Below are 19,528 nucleotides of genomic sequence, written 5' to 3'. Positions count from 1 at the left end.
CCTGTGTCAGGGTCCCTGAGGCAGCCAGCCTTGGGCTGCCCTTTGAAAGCTACAAAGGCTTTCATGTCCCTTCTCTGCTTGCTCGCAGCTCCCGAGGCTCCTCCTGTTCTCGGCCTCTGCCCCTGCCTATCCCTCCACCCTCCAGCCCGTCATGGCCACCCTGCTTGTCACTGAGCCCCAACCTATCCGCCTCCCTTCACCTGCACACATGCCGAGCTTGCTCCTCCAAGGCACCTGATGTCCCCTCCAGCCCATGCAATGCGCATGTCCCCAAGAGTTCACACTCCTGCTCCTTCTAAATCTCTCCTAGAGAAGCCCCACCCGGCAGCCACACTGTCTGGGGGAGGCCCCGGCTCAATATGCCACCGCACCTGCTCCCCTTTTCTGCAGCACCCCTGGCTGGCTGGAGTCATCTCGTCCTTCACTGCCTTTCTCCTCCCTGCAGACCCTCTGTCCTGGAAGCACAGGAACCTCACCTGTCTTCCTCACAGCCGTGTCCCCAGAGCCTCATCCAGAGTGCCCGACACAGATGCTCAGCAGCCGCTTGCTAAATGAGCAAATCAATATCGATTTTTTAAAGCACATTTTCCTTTCATTAAGGGTATTTTAATTAAAAAACTCATTTTGCAAAAAACCTCCTACTACAAAACAGATAACATAATCACAATCATTGATTTGTTTGTTCACTCACTCACTGCCGTGGTAACAGTGCAGGTGGCACTTTCACTTACATTTCCAATCTGACCCTCATGAGAATCCTATAATCTGGGTTTGGTTAGCTCCATTTTAATGGATGAGAAAACTGAGGCTGAGAGAAACCCAGAGATGTTCTCTGGGTTCTTTTTTATTCTCATTCCTAAGTCTCTCACTGGAATGGAGATTGGCAAACTACAACCTGGGGGCCAAATTCAGCCTGCACCCTGTGTTTGTAAATAAAGTTTTATTGGAACACAGCCACTCGCATGTGCTGAGAACTGTGGCTGCTCTTAGGTTACTACAGCAATGCTGAGTAGGCCACATCCTTCAAAGCCAAAAATATCTACCATTAGGCCCTTCGCAGAAAAAGCTTGTCAATCCCTGCTCAAGAACGTCCCAGCTCACGATTGCAAGATAGGCTTCAAATAATTCTAATCAATCAAGACTCATGTTCTGACTTGAGCATTCCATATTATTTCTACTGCTTGAAGCAATATTGGTTTCCTAAGCTCCAAAATGAAAGACAAATTTGACCCGAGGGCAAGATTCAAGGAAGGGACCCCTAGTTCACCGAAACACATGCACAGCTTGCTACACACCTGGTCAGTCTCCTTGCAGGCTGTGGGTGGGAAGAGCCCTTGGCTGTGCACACAGTGACACTGATTTGCTCTCTCCAACAGCTCTCACCCCTGAGGATATCAGCATTTTGCTCCCGAAAGGGCAAACACAAAAGGTATAATTCCATAATCACTAGATTCTACTTCATTTTAGAAGAACAGTATTATACAACCATGGAAGATTAAAAAGAAAACCCACAGAAACAATGAAAACCTTTACCTTGAGTTTATTTTTCAAAGACAGAGAGCCAAGGTATTTCTGTTAATGGGATAATAAAAGAAACTCACAAAAGAACTACAATTGTTCAATAAAAGTAAAATAGAGAATGAATGTAAAAAATAGGAAAAAAAGATCAAAAGAAAAAGATTAGGAGTGATCTATTCACTCAATAGTCTTTCCAATTCTGCCCAGAAAATAAGGGAGTTTTTTCTACTTCTCCTCAAGAAAGAGGAGGGCTTAGTGCGGGAAGAGGCAACGCTACCCTGAGAAGAGGAGGGTACTAGGGCCGGGGAGTGACAGCCGTCTGTGCTGCTTGTGGGCCTCAGCAGTTTCCCCACAGGACCCACAAAGGCTTCAGGTGTGCTTGAGAGCTGGCTCTCCTGGTCTGCCCACTTCTGGCCACATTACCCCTTCTGTTTACCTCAGGGGGCTGAACAGATACTACCATTTTCTGTGTGTAGTACATGGAGCAAATTTTGGGAAGTTCTACCTTGAAGGCCCAGTCTAGCAGGTCTGGCTTTGCTGATAGGTGTACCCACTGGATACATCCAGGTAGCTGTGGGCCAAGGTGTACCCACTGGATACATCCGGGTAGCCGTGGGCGTGGGTGTACCCACTGGATACATCTGGGTAGCCGTCGGCCTGGGTGTGCTCACTGGATACGTCCAGGTCAGGTAGCTGTGAGCCTGGGTGTACCCACTGGATATGTCCGGGTAGCCGTGAGCTTAGGTGTACCCACTGGATACATCTGGGTAGCCGTCGGCCTGGGTGTGCTCACTGGATACGTCCAGGTCAGGTAGCTGTGAGCCTGGGTGTACCCACTGGTTACATCCAGATAGCCATGGGGCTGAATGTACTCACTGGATACGTCCAGGTCAGGTAGCTGTGAGCCTGGGTGTACCCACTGGTTACATCCAGGTAGCCATGGGGCTGAATGTACTCACTGGATACGTCCAGGTCAGGTAGCTGTGAGCCTGGGTGTACCCACTGATTACATCCAGGTAGCCATGGGGCTGAATGTACTCACTGGATACGTCCAGATCAGGTAGCTGTGAGCCTGGGTGTACCCACTGGTTACATCCAGGTAGCCATGGGGCTGAGTGTACTCACTGGATACGTCCAGGTCAGGTAGCTGTAAGCCTGGGTGTACCCAGTGGTTACATCCAGGTAGCCATGGGGCTGAGTGTACTCACTGGATACGTCCAGGTCAGGTAGCTGTGAGCCTGGGTGTACCCACTGGTTACATCCAGATAGCCATGGGGCTGAATGTACTCACTGGATACGTCCAGGTCAGGTAGCTGTGAGCCTGGGTGTACCCACTGGTTACATCCAGGTAGCCATGGGGCTGAATGTACTCACTGGATACGTCCAGGTCAGGTAGCTGTGAGCCTGGGTGTACCCACTGATTACATCCAGGTAGCCATGGGGCTGAATGTACTCACTGGATACGTCCAGATCAGGTAGCTGTGAGCCTGGGTGTACCCACTGGTTACATCCAGGTAGCCATGGGGCTGAGTGTACTCACTGGATACGTCCAGGTCAGGTAGCTGTGAGCCTGGGTGTACCCAGTGGTTACATCCAGGTAGCCATGGAGCTGAGTGTACTCACTGGATACGTCCAGGTCAGGTAGCTGTGAGCCTGGGTGTACCCACTGGTTACATCCAGGTAGCCATGGGGCTGAGTGTACTCACTGGATACGTCCAGGTCAGGTAGCTGTGGGCCTGGGTGTACTCACTGGTTACATCCAGGTAGGTGTGGGTCTGGATCTCCCCTCCTTCATTGCTGGCGAAGCACTGGAAGATTCCGGAGTCCTCTGGACGCAGCTTCTGGATGCGCAGGCCTCCGCTGGCGAGCACTTTGTATCGAGGATTCTGGAGCCTGCTGATGGAGATGGCATCCTTGTACCACTGGAGGGTGGGAAGGGGGACCCCTGCGTAGGAATGGGAATAAATAGGATTTTAAAAATAATTCCTGACGTGAGAACTGAAGCACATCTGTTTCAAAGGCTAGAATGCCAATATTTTAATAGGCATTTTCTTGTGTATTCGTGCTTTCAACCACCCTATAAGGAGCTATTTTTCTCGTTGTAGATGAAGCCATCGACACGGAGGGGTGTTGAGAGGAACAGCTGGCATGAACTGTGGCCGCCCTGGCTGCGGTGCCTTCCAGGCTCCACTCCGAACCCACACAGGCTCATGCTCTTGTTTGGAAAGGAGATTCCAGCTGAGAGTCAGGTTAAGGTTCAGATGGAGATGAAGCCCTCTCTGCTCTGCAGTGCCCTACTCAGCCACCGCGGGAGGGCTTGGGCACAGGGTCATAGGGGCAGAGGACAGGACACAGGCCACATCCCAGGTCCATGCCTCGCGGACAGTGTCACCTTGGGCAGAATACATTACCTGTCCCTTTCTTTGTCTGTTTCCTCACATGCAGGTTAGTGATAATTGTGACTTCAGAAGGTTGAAGATTGGATGTGTTTGTGTGTCTGTGCATGTGTGTGTATATGTATGTGCATGTGTTCATGCGAGTGTGTGCACGTGTACATGTGTGTATATATGTGCATGTGTCTACGTGTTTACATGTGTGTATGTGTGTGTGTTTGTGCATATATGTGCATGTGTTTATGTGTGTATGCGTATACATGTGCGTGTGTGTATATGTGTGTGTACATCTGTGTATGTATATGTGCACCTGCATATATGTGTACATGTGTTTCTATGTGTGTCTGTGTGAGGTGGTGCATATATGTGCATGTGTGTACATTTACATATGTATTTATAAAACTCATGCCCGGCACCTGGTGAGTGCTCAATGGCAGTATCACTATTCATCCCAACAGCTAACAATGAAAATGAGTGCCATCTTTTAACACCCCCTATCAAAGGGGTTGGATATCATGGGCCTTCATGGAGTTCTACTGTCTCAGAGGAGCAATTTGTTAGGTTAAGTAACCTTGTTAAGGGTCGAGGAGGAGGCACAAGAGGTATTCCATTGTGGATACAGGAAAAGCTGCCTCGCTCCATGAGGCATATCTACACTTAGCTCTAGATCTCAGATGGTTCTGTACCTCAGTTTCCCTAAAGAGAAAGTGGATTTAAATAAAAAACATATCTTGACATGCTTCAGTGCAAAGCACACCAAAATCCCTTGATTTAAGATGGCGTGTGGGTAGGTGTGAGATGTCGACTTTAATAAATAAAGTTAATGCCATGGAATAACTCAAGATAATGTCTTCCTAGATTCTCTTCTTTGCCTTAATTATGTTTCCTGTCACTTTTCATTAAGTCAGGAAATATTAAAAAATCCATTTCAAGGTAAAAGCATAACCAATTCATGTAATATCTCATAATAGCAGTTACATGATGTCACTTTCATAAGGAATAACCACTTCGCATGCTGCTATAGTTTCACTGTCAAAATGAAAAGAAAGCAGTAAATTATATGACAGCAGTGCAATGTCGGAAGATCTGTTGTCTCTATATTTGTAAGTCTACACTTAACAAGCAGTTTACCCTGCAGAAGTCGTGCAAAAAAACAGAGCTTTCTCTTGTCAAAGGGAGTTTAAGATTGTCATTTGTTGAAAAATAATTGTTAGTACATAGGGAACTGGGAGTATTTCTATTTTGGGGCAATTTAATGTCATAACAGAAATCTTATCCCCCGCAGTATTGTATACTCTTATTTCTGAAATATAAGCTCGCTAAATATTTTATAGCTTCACATTCACAGAGTTGTTGGCCTTAAGAAGCTGGCACCTACACAAGAAAGAACAATGCAACCACTGTAAGAAAGATAATTCCACGTAAAATTCGTCTTACTCTTCTCTCACACTTTTTCCCCCTCCCCTATGCCGAATCAGTAGAGCTGGAACAGAGAAGAACAGAAACAGAACAGAGCCGTGGACAGCAGCCGCTGTGAGCTGGTCAGGAGCTGAGGACCAGAACTCCTACTGAACCAAGTCCCGGGCCAGGAGCAGTGGTTACAAAGCACGGTGGGTCGGGAGGGGGTCTGTGGGCAGAGGCTGATCTTTCCCTCTACCACCAGGACTGGAAGGGTGACACGCCGCTGCACCGGAAGGGTGGCACAGCACTGGAAGGGTGACACACCATTTTCAGGAATAAGAAATGGCATCCACACAGTTGCAGGTATGGACAAATGGCATTTGTTCTAAGTCCAGGGCTTCAGGTCCTGGGGGAAGCTAGTGTTCTGGCAAGAGCCAGGTGGCTGCTTTGGTGGCTGACAGATTTGCGTTTGGGTCCTGCCTCCATTACCATGTGGACCTAGGTAAGTTAGGTACCCAGTATTTAATGAGTAACTTCCACAGGCCACACACTGGGCAATGACTTCACCAGAGAAGGATCCCATTTCATTGAGTGGCCCAGTGCCTTTGGCACTGTACTTAACCATGCTTTCCAGGGCTTGGTTTTCCTGTGGTACAGTGAAAATCATCTCTCTTTTAGGAGCTGTTTTGAAGATTTGCAAAACTGGTAGTCATTCTTACCCTCCGAGCTCTTAGGGAGTAGGAGAAAATACTATCCTTAGGACGGATGGGTATAAACAAAAGAGAAAAGATCCTTTTCGTTTCCTGATAGTTGCCAGAATACAAACACAGCTTTTCTTAACGAAACTGCCTTGACAAGCCTGTCTCTGCTAGAAGGTTTTGTGTAATCACCTGTGCTGCCCGACATGAGACGGTGACAGTGGGCAGCTTGTAATTGAAGCATGGGGATGAGGGCTGGGATGACCTGAATGGCAAAGGAAAAGGGGACCCAGAGCTGAAAAGGCAAAAAAAAAAAGGTAACATTTCCTATTCAAATACTATTCGGCCACAAAAAAGAATAAAAGGGTGTCTTTTGCAGCAACCTGGATGGCACCGGAGGCCACTGAGTTATGTGAGAGAACTCAGACACAGAAAGACAAAGACTGCCTGTTCTCACTAATAAGTGGGTGCTAAGTCACATGTGCACATGGATGCAGAGTGTGGAAGGACAGACAATGGGGACTCACAAGGGTGTGGGGTGGGCGATGAGAAATTACTTAACGGGTACAGGGTACATCACTCCAGTGACGGACGCACTCCCAGCTTTGGCTTCACCACTGTGCAATACATCAGTGGAACAAAATTGCCTTGTACCTCACGTACCTACTACAAATACATGTACACCCATCTCCCTTTCTAGAGTGGCTGTGCTCACCAGTCCTAGTCACCCCATGGATGAGAAAGAATTTTCTGCCCCGAATCTCGGGGGGTCACACACTTGTGAAGTCAGGGCCTTGGAAGGGGAGTCCACAGGATATGATGGAGTCCCCTCTCTGTCTGGGGTAGATGTGGGCTTCCTTTTTGCTCTGCTGGGTAAATAGTATCATCTCTGTTTCGCAGGGGAGGAAGCAAAAGCTTGGCAAAGTCAAATGCCTTACCCACAGTCACTGCCCCAAGACCGATCTACTCTCTGAAGTCTGCTCTTCGCCATCACACTCAATGTCTCCCTAGAATGATGGCAATTCTGCTATGGAAAAAGGTTGTTTCCCTTCCTCCCAGTCATGGCTCCTTGTCCAGCAGCCACTCTGCACTCACCCATGGCTTGACATCCGATGTCCACAGTTTCTTCTACTTCAGCTGAAATCCGACTCTCGGGCTCAGCAGTAAAATATGGTGGCTCTTCAAACAAGAAAATAAAAAAAAGCCCCTAAGCCAAAGAAGGATATGTCAGAGACCATATAACCTAAGATAGTGTGGGCTCCTCTTAAAAACCATTCTTGAAAATTTCATCATTAGTTAGCATCGTGCATACAAACTCAGAACTCAGTGAGCACAGGCCAAAGGCAATTTACAGTCTGGGGTTTCAGAAAGCAACTTACTACTCAGGGTGATGGCTACTTTTCAGTTTATGGGCTTGAATCATGGAATATCTTAATTTACATTTTAGAAGGACTACCCCAAGAGGTTCGTAAAGGTTTATATTTACAGCACCGTATTTTATGGGCTAGTTTGCTTCAGTATCTAAACTAAACACGAGCTCGTGAAGCTTGTCAAGTGCCCGAGGAAGGTGTGCAGCCTGTATTGGGCAACAGCCTATTAACATATTTTTAAAATTCTTAGCAGTTCTTCTCCAAAATAGAGATTTAATACTTCAATGGAATACCAAATAATAACTAAGAGAAAACATATAAGGGAGCACTCATCTATCTTTAGTAGCAAAGGAAACTCCTAGGCACTTGCAATCTCTCGATACTCCACTCGCCCGTTCCGCAGAAAAAAAAACAGTGGTTGTATTAAACAATGAATTTCCTTGGAGAGCCAATTGCAACATTTTTCCAGTTTATTCAGCAGAAATTCAACAGAGGCATGGCCAAGTTTGTCAAGTATTAAGGTGGTGGTGATTTCATTATCATGATAACAAAAGGCTGTTGTGTTCACTTTCTGTGCGATAATTAATTTCTGGGAACTGTCTTCCAGAGCTGGTTTACTTTCATTATAATTGTGTTGAATGTGGATAAGATAGCTTGGCATGCCTCCTATATTGACTGTATCTTTAAAACAAGGTGGGACCTAAAAGATGAAAAAGAGAAATGAAAACTAAGCATTTCAAAGAAACGATTAAGGGGGAAGCGGCTGAAGGTTTCTGGAAGGAGGCAAAGTGATGTTTCACTTCTGCGATTACCTGGACCACTCAAGCAGAAAGAATCTGCCTGAATCAACCACTCCGGCTGAGGAGATGGCTGCAAATTCATTAGAAGGAAGCAGATTCCTCTACTTAAGTTTTCATGTGTACAGACCAAGCCTGAAGAAATATTGCCAGCATTTAATGTCTACCTTTTTCAAGCTCATCTTCATTGCACAACTCATACATCCCCCATTTGATCACGTTTCCTCAATCAATAATCATGAAGGCAGTATTATTTATATTCCAACTATACATACAGTAGCTGCCTGCTGTCAGGGCCCTTGTGTGCAGGTCCTGACCTGTATTCATCAGGGAAGCTAAGTCAATATCTACCGTCATGATCTGATTAAAAGCATGGAAGGAAAAAGGAAAAAAACATACATTCGACAACAACATTTGCTTATGATTAATTATAGTTTTCCTCTTCTTAGTTGAGCGTTTTCTTTTTAGAAAACTGTCGAGTCCGTGCAGTTGTGAGAAGTAACACTGTAACACTGAAAGAGCTCATGGACCCTTCACTCGGCTTCCCGCAATGGTAACATCTTGCAAAAAACGATAGCATAACATCATGATCAGGATACTGCTACTGATACAATCAACCTAATTTATCCAGCTCTTGCCAGTGTTTCCTGCGCTCAAGTGTGCGTGAAAAGACGGCACATGCACGTCCCATGCAACATTATTACGTGTGTAGGTCCACGTGTCCATCAGCACAAGGGTGTTGCCTTCCATGACCAGGAGCACCCCAAACCCCCACCCCTCACAACCACTAATCCGTTCTCTGTTTCTGTAGGTTTGTCATTTCAAGAACGTTACAGAAAGGAGGTCATCGAGTGTAACTTTTGCAACTATTTTTTTCACTCTTCATGGTTCCCTTGAGATTCACCCAAGATGACCTGTGCTTTGATGATACAAAATCCATAGATAACAATGGTCGGCACCTACGGGCCCAGGGTGCCTTCCCTGAGGTACTGATTACCGTTGTCGCCTGGTACAGTCCCCCGAGGCTTCCCTCGAGTGCCAGGAAGGGACCTCGCTGGGGTCAGGGAGACGGGCACTCCACACAGTGACCCGAAGCTGGCTTGGCTGAGCAAGTGCATGGCTCTGGGGACCTCCAGGCCCAGACGATGCTGCTCCTCTCCAAGTGGTGACCTCTCTCCACCCTAGCCAGGGACCATCTGTGTTTGGCACACAGCATGCCACCTGGTGAGAAAACTCATCCCACTCCACACTCTCCATAGTACTGTGGCATGGGCAAGGTCTGGGGGGCAGCCTGCCACCGCCTGCAGGGGCCAATGTCCTGGGCAGTTTTAGTAGCTCAGTGCTAGGCATGGGTGGAAAACATCTGGCTGTTCATTGTGGATGCTCTTAGCTTGTTCTGGAAAGCCTTCCAGGTCGCTGTGCCTGGGGAGCAGGTGCAGAGCTGCCCATGCCCTGCGTGGCCTCTGAGCTTCCCTTAGTACTTCCCCACCGTGTGAGGGTACGAGTTCTCTCCCTGCCAACCCTTCCTAGTATTCTAACCCAGCGGCTGCTCAGATGGAGTTTCTCCCCATTTCCAGCTACGGTTTTACACACAGTCTGCTCTAAGGCAAAGAACCGGAGGAAATGCCAAGCCTATGGACCGTGAAAAGCCCGTGAGTTAAACACTGGGGAAAACCCATTGTAAATGAGTCATCCTGTGCATAGACTCTCAACCACTTACTCTTCAGAGGGCAAGAGGGCGAGGGCATGTCTTAGCCTGTCAGTGGCAACTGTGTCTAGAAAGGGTACTCTGCCAACATGGGTCCACCCTGGACTTCTGAAAATTGATCCTGACTGCAGCCAACAAAACAGGGGATGGAAACAAACACTTCTCCCTCTTTTGAAACAATATGAAGACATCAGGGAAAGGTTCTCATGCCCTGTGTGAAGTCAGGGTGTTAGGAAAAGGCCAGCTCAGATTTTCCGCCTTCCACATGGCCCAGAGCCCATGGCAGCTGCCTCCAGGGGCAGCGCAAGCTTCTAGCTCCCCAGTCTCAGGAGAGGAGGTGGGGAGACCTCCCAGACTGCCCCCAAACCAAGGGCCTCTGTCAAATGACCTCACTCTCCAAAATGCCAGTGTGACAAAGTGCAGGCTCAGGCCCAATGGAGGCAACCGCAGTGGAGAAGGACCCCCCAACAACACCATGCATTTTTCCTGCTCTCCCATCCCCAATGCTGCTGGGATTTGGCTTCTGAGTTGCAAAGCTTCTTCTGTGTAGGGATCACTGCAAGATCCAAAGATGTTTCCTGCGCTGCCTCCCTGTTCCTTCCAGGTCGCCCCTCTCAGGGAGCAGCATGTCCCACGCATGCCCTCGGCTGGCCTGCACTGCACGCTAGTCCACCGAGGTGGACAGAACGGCTCCCGGAGGTGTCCACACCCACACCTCTGGAATCTATGAATATGCTGTCTCACTTGGCAAGAGGGACTCTGCAGGTGGGATTAGGTATCCCACCTTAAAATAGGGAGACTCTCTTGGATTCGCTGGGTGGGCCCAATTTAATCATGTGAGCCCCTAAAAGGAGAGGACTTTCTGCAGCTGGAGGCACAGGGGACAGCAGAGAGCTTCCATGTGTGACAAGAACTCAGCCGCAGCTGCTGGCTCTGGAGATGAGCCAGGGATGCAGGGGACTCTGGAACCTGAGGGGACCCCTGGCCAGGAGCCAGCCCCCAAGCCACAAGCACTGAATTCCATGAACAACTTGAAGGGGCTGGCAGCAGATGCCCCACCAGGTAAAGAGTCCATCCCAGTGAAAACTCGCCGTCCGAGTTTCCGAGCCATCGTGCTCAGCAGGAGCAGGGCACATGTGGGAGCAGCTGGCTTCGTGTGTGATGAGGAGACCGTGGAGAAGGCGTGGCTCGGAGGGAAGATGCATCTCACAGGCACTAAGGTGCTGCAGTCAGAGGTAAGGGGCATCCTTGTCTTACCCCAAGGAAAAAAAAAATGGTTTCATAGGTGGTGAGGCACATCCTGATTCCAGAGACACTAAACATGAAAAATGTGTGTCACATAACTGATTATTGGTAAATAGCGAGTGCAATGGGACATATAGGATAATAGAGTTATGCCAACAGCAACTAAAGCCACTATTTCAGAGCCTCTGTGACAGACATTTTTGCATTTAACCTTCACAATATGAGCTGGTACCATCTACATCCATCTCCATTTTATGGATGTGGAAACTGAGGCCAACACTCATTCAAGCCCATGAATGGTGCAGTGTAGAGGGTGTAGAAGGGAGGTGGGACGGAAGCGGAGGGTGTAGAGGGGAGGCCAGAGGGGAAGGTGTAGAGGGGAGGTGGGAACGGAGGGCGGAGAGTATAGAGGGGAGGCGGGAAGGGAGGGTGTTGAGGGGAGGTTGTAAAGGGGAGGTGGGAGGGGAGAGGAGGGTGTAGAGGAGAAGCAGGAGGGGAGGGGGGAGGGTGGAGGGCGTAGAGGGGAGGCAGGAGGGGAGGGGAGGGTGTAGAGGGGAGGCAGGAGGGGAGGGTGGAGGGTGTAGAGGGGAGGCAGGAGGGGAGGGTGTAGAGGGGAGGCAGGAGGGGAGGGGAGGGTGTAGAGGGGAGGCAGGAGGGGAGGGGAGGGTGTAGAGGGGAGGCAGGAGGGGAGGCTGTAGAGTGTAGAGGTGATGCGGGAGAGGAGGGTGTAGAGGGGAGGCAGGAGGGGAGGGTGGAGGGCGTAGAGGGGCTGCTCCACAGGACTGGGCAGCCAGTGGCGGGGTGGTGCCTGGAAGCCGACCTCTGTGCTCTCATTCAAGCCACAGAAATTAAGCAACATAGACAGGCAGGTGGGCAAACAGCCCAACTAGCCTGTCCTGTGTCATCAGTATAAAATACAAGTAATAGGAGCCCATTTGTTTCTCTGTCTTTGGCCTGTGTGCTCCTACGGGTGGCCCTTTTGACAGGTACATGGTGACAGCCCTGTGAAACCAATAATGCTCGGCCACAGGGCGTGGGATTATAATCTCATCCAAATCCCTCGGAATTGACACAGACACTCTCTTCAGGGTTTTTGCAGTGTGCGCCAACCACAAAAATCCTACCTGCTACAGCAAATTCTTATGAATAAAAGGGGATTTAACTCAACATCATAAAGAAGTGAAGTGTGTTTGTGTACCTTTAAAAGTCAGAACACGGAGAGGTGCTAACTCGAGAGAACACAAAACTAATCAGATATAAATGTAAAACTAAAGCTCTTAAGATAGATTTAAATATTTTAAAAAGGAATGATGATCGAAACAAACATTCTCGTTTAAAGGGAGATAAATTTCTTCTCTTGTTTAAATTACCTTAAAATGTTTGAACACGGTATAGTCCTGTCTACTAGAGATTTACACGTCGCAAATTTTAATTTTGGCTGAATCTATAATGTGCTGTGCTCCTAGAACTACAGATCAACCTCGATGAAAAAATCTTTGCAGAGAATGGGATGTGATATTTACATCTGTAGCGGAAGCATGGATGGGGAAGGTAGCAATACCAGCTCAGGCCTCTCATGTAGAATCAACAGTGATTGGTGACTCAAAGCCGGCTTCCTTGGATGCTTTTAACAGACTTTCGCTTCTTTCAGAGGGACCGACAGGTTTGCACTGCATTGTATTTAGAAGAGTCAAGGTCAGGACATGGAGTCATTTCCTAATGATTAAAGGAATGGGACGTGATCAAGGTAAACCACCTTTTGTGCAGTATTCCTTTTCTTGCTAGTTTCATAGGAAAACACAAGCTTTTTTTTTTTTTTCCTTATTTTGCAAAGTGGCAGACTGCAAATTTTTTTATTTAAGGGGCTCTCTGAGGGTTTTCTTATTTGAATTTTCCTGTTCTCAATTCCCCTTTTTCCCAAAGAGGAGAGAGGAAGTCGAGATTCTCCTTCCTAGAGGCGGCCTCTAAGGCTACCTCTTATCAACAGCGGCTACCACTGCGGAACACAGGCTGCTCTCATAGTCATCACGGCCACTTATGAAGAATAAATGCATGACAGTAGCTGGAAAAATGAGAGAAATAAAGTCACTTGCCTCACAACTTAACCTCCTCATAAACTGATAATAGGTTTTGTATTTTCTTAGCCACTGTACAATGCACACTCCCTAAACACTAATAGTTTCCAGCATTTAGAGCTGGGCAACTCCAGTGTACTTAATTTTATGTTCTTTCTCCTTGGTTCAGGAATAATATGTCGCCCAGTTTGAGGAAGCATCTCTGTTCTCTTTTTTTTTTTAAGTTTAACAAAAGGTAACATCCGATAGTTTTACATTTTCTGCTAGGTCAAAAAATAACAGCTAAATTAATAATTAATAGAATAATTTCTAAATTAATAATTTTTTTTTTGAGTTGGAGTTTTGCTCCTGTGGCCCAGATTGGGTTGCAATGATGCGATCTTGGCTCACTGCAACCTCTGCCTCCTGGGTTCAAGTGATTCTCGTGCCTCCGCCTCCCGAGTGGCTGGGATCATAGGCGCCCGCCACTGCGCCCAGCTGATGTTTGTATTTTTAGTAGAGACGGGCGGGATTTCACCATGTTGGCCAGGCTGGTCTCGAACTCCTGGCCTCAAGTGATCCGCCCACCTTGGCCTCCCAAAGTGCTGGGATTACAGGCATAAGCCACCATGCCTGGACAGCAATAATAGAATAGTTTCTGAACACCGATCACGATAGCCAAATAAGAGTTACAGAAAAGCTTAGCAGCCTAAAGCTAGAATAGGAGAGGGATCTATATGACAGGGGTTTCACCGCTCTATTTCCCGAGCTTTGTGACTGGAGTATTCAGAAGGACGTTTCTTGGAAGGATTGAGAACATCAACACTTTGGATTTAATGGACTTATATTCTTGGGAAAGAAGGCTAGGAAGGATTTCGAAGGTAAACTCAACCTCACCTTCATTTGCCGAGTTACAAATAAAGCCACTGAAATACGCTATTTTGTTTCTGCAGAAGAGTCAGTGTCGGATGCTATCTGAGATGCTGGCAACACCACTTAGAGGCTCCCGCATTACCTATGATGAAAAGAAAGGCCGTCGCCCTGGCCGGTTCAAAAGCGCTCCCCGGCAGCGCCGCCTCGCAGACGTATGGCCCGGTGTCCGCGGACGTCGGGTTGCTGATGGTGAGGCGTCTTCCAAAGCTGTGGAGGCCACTGGTGATTCTCACTCCATTCCTCTTCCAGGTCACACTCAGGTCCTCCACAGGCCTGTGGGAATGAAAGGCATTCATGACGACGATTGTGACTCAGGGAGGTGGCAACGGTCATCATCTCAGGCACTCGGCACAGGCTTGACGAAGCTAATGCTACCAGGGTGCATGGTGGGTTGAACAACGGACACTGAAAACTCAATCTAGATGTAACTCTACTCCCTCCCAGCACGCATTGACGATGCATTCTGCTCAAGGGCTATTAAGCAAGGATATCTAATTGCCGCAGCAATGGACCATAAGTGCTAATGATCCCATTTGCTCAGGAAATGAATGTTTAAAATAAATACTGTGAGGGGACACAACGACATGGAAGGCGGGATCATCCGAGCTTGATTCTGGAGCGACCGCTAAGTAGGCAGAGAACACCTTGGCTGACTAAGAGGAGAAGAGCAATGAACTTTTTCCTCTGCCTCAACTCCTCTCTCTTCCCTAGAGAGGATCTCAGAGGAGCCCCCCACTACCACCCAGAGCTGCATTGAAAGCACCGCCCTGTTGCAGTGGGGGACTCTGGAAGACATCAGTGTGTCCATTTCCTTATCTACCCATATCTCGTATTCATGGCCCACCCGGCCAAACAAGACCACTGTCGCTAGAAGGCTGAACCTCATGCTCCAGTGTATCCTTCTATCGTCGGCTCGTCACAGGTCATGGAATATTTACTAGGAGTCTCACAGGAGACGCGCCTCGTACCTGGCACTGGCTATACATTCCAAGGTGGTCTCACTGGATCCAGCCACCACACTTCTGTTGCCCGGGGGAACCACAATGGTTGGGGCCATGGTTTCAGGTGTGCCAACATCTCCTGTGGCAGAGAAAAGAGAAATGTCCATGAAACTCTAAGTACAGGAGCACCCCCCGCCGTTATCTGAGGGGACACGTTCCAAGACCCCCGGGGATACCTAAAACCAAAGAGAGTACCAATCCCTACAGACACAAATTGTCCCTGATGTATGATGGCTCCACGCAGGGCTTTTCAACTTTATGATGGTGCAAAAGCCATACACATTCAGTCCAGTCCTCAACTTACAACGGGGCTACAAAAGCGCGTTTTGACTTCCGATATTTTCAACTTCCGGTGGGTTTATTGGAACATAACCCCATTGTGAGTGGAAGGGCATCTGTTCAAACTTTCTCCCTCTGCATACACACCTGTCATAAATGTGTAAATCAGGCACACTAAGAGACTGACTACAACTAATAATGAAACAGAACAATGATAACATAATGTAATGAAAGTTATGCGAATGTGGTCCCTCTCTATCTCTCAAAATATCTTACTGTGCTGTACTCTCCTATTTTCGGACCATGGTTGACGGAGGGTAATGGAAACCACAGAAAGTGAAAGGGCAGATAGAAGATGGGATGATCGGAGCATGACAAATGAAGACTATTGTCAGAGTCACGCTAATAGGAAACCCAAATTTCATGGCCCCTACCTGAACTCCCATGAGAAGCCCTGGGGCAGGGTCACTGTCCCTGGCCTTTCTCAGACCACATGAGATGGGGTCCAAGCACAGCCAGTGTCCTCAGGCACAATCCACAGCCTGTCCTACCGGGCATGGTTACCGGGCCTTACGCTACTGCTCTGTGTGTTGTGTGGCTGAGGGGCTTTATTTAAACTGTTTGGCATTTTCCAAAATGCTTGCTGGCTTTATTTTTCTTTTATTGATTTAAGAGTTTGCTTACTGAGTTACCTAGTCTACCTGCTATTTCCAAATCTGTTCAATTCCACAAATATTTCATGTATCAGCCACTACGTTAGGCATGGGTGTCACTGGAAAGCAGTGGGCATTCTTACTCCTGTCCAAATATGCTTCCCTGGAGCCAATATATTCAATTAACAAAGGGTTCAGTTCTGTTACTGCAGTTTCAATCCTTTTTTCCTTTCTGAAAAGTAAATATCCTGAATCTATGTTTTTTGAGTATCAAACTATAAATAATTTATCTCGTACTTCTGGTGACAAGGGAGAAAAAAATAGGACATATTTTTTGCCGCTTTTCTCTAAAATACATTTAACATCAAAATTAAACTACCCACAGTACACTTTACTACTGTTTATTTAGAGAAAATGAAGACCAATCCAACATTTCTAGAACAGGGATTTCAATAAAGGGCGGAGATGTAAGAGGCTGGAAATAAAAATAAATGGAAATGACTGCAAACGCAAAACGCTTCATCTGGGCTTCACGCTGAAGGGACTCGCCACCATCGTGAGCGGCAGCGGAGGATTCTGGCAACTGAAAGGTTCTAGCCTGCCCGGCTGGCGGTGGGGTGAGGGCCGCGGAGAGAGAACAACGGGAAAGAGACGACGGGCTTCTCATCAGCTCTGATTTCCCACAGCTCTGTGCTCTGCCTTGCACTGCCTAAGCAGTATGAGATTTTTGTATTAAACGTGCATGTGAATTCTAAAAGAAAAACAGAAGCCTGATGCAGACAGAGCCAAGTAATGAATGTTTTAAAATCTATATGTTGATTGAATAATGTGAGGGTGACTCTCACCCAGCCCTGGGTCCCTGGGGGGCTGAGGCAGCCTTCCCCATCTCTAGACTCTCCAACTCTGCAGCGGACCCTCGAAGCTTCTCCGGAAACCTTCCTGCTGACGCCTTCGCTTTGTAAAATTGCCAACATTCCTGGGCTGGTTATCAGATTTCTGAGAAGATGGCAGAGTCCGGATGCACTCACGATGGGGCAAAGGACAGGAATGGAATGCCAATCAGACTAACGGCCTGCCTGTCATCTGTGAAAGTGGCTGATGAGGAGAAACGGCCGGAGAAGCTAATATTTGCAAATAGTTATGTGAAGTGAAGGGAGGCAGTGGCTAATGCTGAAAGGTCATTGAACAGGGTGCTAATTTGGCATTAATCACTGCTCAGCCACGGTGGCAGATGAGGAAGCCTGAGTTCAGGACTGGGGAGGACGCCTGAGGAGAATGGTCCTTGGGCCACTGAGTCCCTCCTCCCCAGACTGGTGGGGGCTCAGCTCCTGGCAGACTCCAAGGGGCTGTGCTGTGGACAGATGAGCCCCAAGGCTGAGTTCGCAGCCCCGCAGGGCCAAGTGCCGCAGGCACCGCACACATCCATCCATCACGGGGTTCAGCTCCACCACAGGAGGAGGAAGCCCTCCTTCGTGTTGATTCACCTACAGCCTTAAAAGAACAGTGGTGGCCGGGCGCGGTGGCTCACGCCTGTCATCCCAGCACTTTGGGAGGCCGAGACGGGTGGATCACGAGGTCAGGAGATCGAGACCATCCTGGCTAACACGGTGAAACCCCATCTCTACTAAAAATACAAAAAAACAAATTAGCTGGGTGTGGTGGCACATGCTTGTAGTCCCAGCTACTCGGGAGACTGAGGCAGGAGAATCGCTGGAACCCGAGAGGTGGAGGTTGCAGTGAGCCGAGATGGCATCACTGCAGTCCAGCCTGGGTGACAGAGCGAGACTCCGTCTCAAAAAAAAAAAAAAAAAAAAAAAAGCAATGGTGATACACACACAAGGTCACCTGCAAGGTGAATCTGACTTATGGAAACCACCACAACAAGGTCAAGGTTATATAGGTCTTCTGATGGCAAAGCTATGCATTTTCTGTTGAGACTGCACAAAAACATTTCAGTAGAATATTACGTGACCTGAATCCAGATATTTCAATAGCAAGGATAGTGCTCATTGTAGTACATGATCCTGGTATATTTTCTTCCTTTAAAAAATTGTTTTAAATTTCAATCAAATTCATATGTGCACATAAATTAAAAAGAACATTACAGAGAGGCTTAAAATGAAACAAAACCATACCCCCTCTCCCTAAGGCAATCTCCCCTAAATCTGTTAGTGTTTTATCTTAGTTTTGAGCTCCATGTCTTTAAATTATAGGCATCTATTGCTATGTCTTGTTTTTAGCCAATTTTAGACATTATCTATTGACTTTCTGCTACAACAGATGAGCTTTTAGCTCACACCACTTCATGATACTTTCAAACAGGATTTTTACTTCTTCTGTTATTTACCTGTGTAATTTAAATATATATAAATATATATGTGTATATTTTAAAAAGATATATAGATACAGATATTTTTAAGCAACAGATATAGATACACATATAGATATATATGTATTTTTAAAAGATATACATAGTGAAACCCCATGTTTACAAAAAAATACACACACACACACACACACACACACACACACACACACAAGCAAATACTTCTTTTTAAAAGGAAAGGCAATTAGAAATCCCGGTGAAAAAAATCTGTAGAAGAAAGAAATATAATCTCTCTATACTGTCTAGCTGTGCAGTAGATAATCTTTACATAGTAAATATAAACAGTGTATATTTATTTCAACTTTAGAATTAATCCATAGTCTAAAATGCCAGATGTAATTGTGCCTAGGAAACAGAATTTAAATGTTTTTAACCTGGACGATATGAAACTGCAGAAGACGGAGTGAGGTGGAAGAGCAGAAGAGAATTGGGGGTGAGGGTGGCTTCTCATTACACAACAGGGAGTGAAAAGCTACTGTTTCCAGTTTACAAGAAATAAAGAAGCGTGTGTGTGTGTGTGCATGCATGCATGCTCATGTATATATCTTAGAGTTACAATGGTAAATAACAAAAGGCCTACACATACTGTTTGGACTATATTTTGAGAAGGATGTGTGAAGAGGCATGAGGTAAAAAGCTCATCCATCACAGCAGAAGGTCAATAGGTAACGTCTAAAATTGGCAAATCAAGAACTAGCAATAGACACATATTGTTAAGACACGGAGTTAAATATTAGCACAAAGGGCTAAATAGAGAAAAGCACGCCTCTGGTGTGAGTGGCAAAAATGGCTGCATTCTGTTTATAGCCTTTTGTACTGTTCTCTTTTACCCACATGAAGGCAATCTACCCAGCTCCCTTTAAACACAGAGACATTCCCTTTCCTGTTTGGTGTGGACTCGTCACTCTGAGACTCTCCTCCGCTGCATTCTTGGGTAACACCTGCCGTTCCCTGGACCTCACTGTCTCCTTATTCTTGGCATATGTCCTCACTTAGCTAGAGTATCCTTAAATAACTTAAAAAAAGTAAGTCTTCAAAGTTCTTGAATGAGGTAAAAAATGATTTTTGGCCAGGCTTAGTGGCTTACATCTG

General features: G+C 47.0%; 1 protein-coding gene and 1 long non-coding RNA gene across 6 annotated transcripts in view; both read right to left on the bottom strand.

Annotated features, from left to right (window-relative positions):
* Nucleotides 1-19,528, bottom strand: part of SDK1 (sidekick cell adhesion molecule 1) — a 967,749-nt gene that overhangs the window by 302,881 nt on the left and 645,340 nt on the right. For all 5 annotated transcript variants that reach the window (NM_152744.4, XM_047420038.1, XM_047420037.1 and 2 more), the window contains 4 exons: nucleotides 15,086-15,197; nucleotides 14,200-14,390; nucleotides 7,106-7,189; nucleotides 3,269-3,463 (listed from right to left, as the gene is read on the bottom strand). In NM_152744.4, coding sequence (NP_689957.3) covers nucleotides 3,269-3,463; nucleotides 7,106-7,189; nucleotides 14,200-14,390; nucleotides 15,086-15,197 — 582 coding nt within the window. The remainder of the gene's footprint in view (nucleotides 1-3,268; nucleotides 3,464-7,105; nucleotides 7,190-14,199; nucleotides 14,391-15,085; nucleotides 15,198-19,528) is intronic.
* LOC124901576 (uncharacterized) lies at nucleotides 7,833-14,185 on the bottom strand. The gene is made up of 2 exons (XR_007060195.1): nucleotides 14,082-14,185; nucleotides 7,833-8,080 (listed from the first exon to the last, which is right to left on the bottom strand). It is a non-coding gene; the product is annotated as an uncharacterized LOC124901576 (long non-coding RNA).

The sequence above is a fragment of the Homo sapiens genome, chromosome 7 (genome assembly GCF_000001405.40).
Source record: "Homo sapiens chromosome 7, GRCh38.p14 Primary Assembly".
In the NCBI taxonomy this organism is placed as follows: domain Eukaryota; kingdom Metazoa; phylum Chordata; class Mammalia; order Primates; family Hominidae; genus Homo; species Homo sapiens.
The sequence above is the reverse complement of the archived record's forward strand: the minus strand, read 5'-3'. Positions and strand labels throughout refer to the sequence as shown.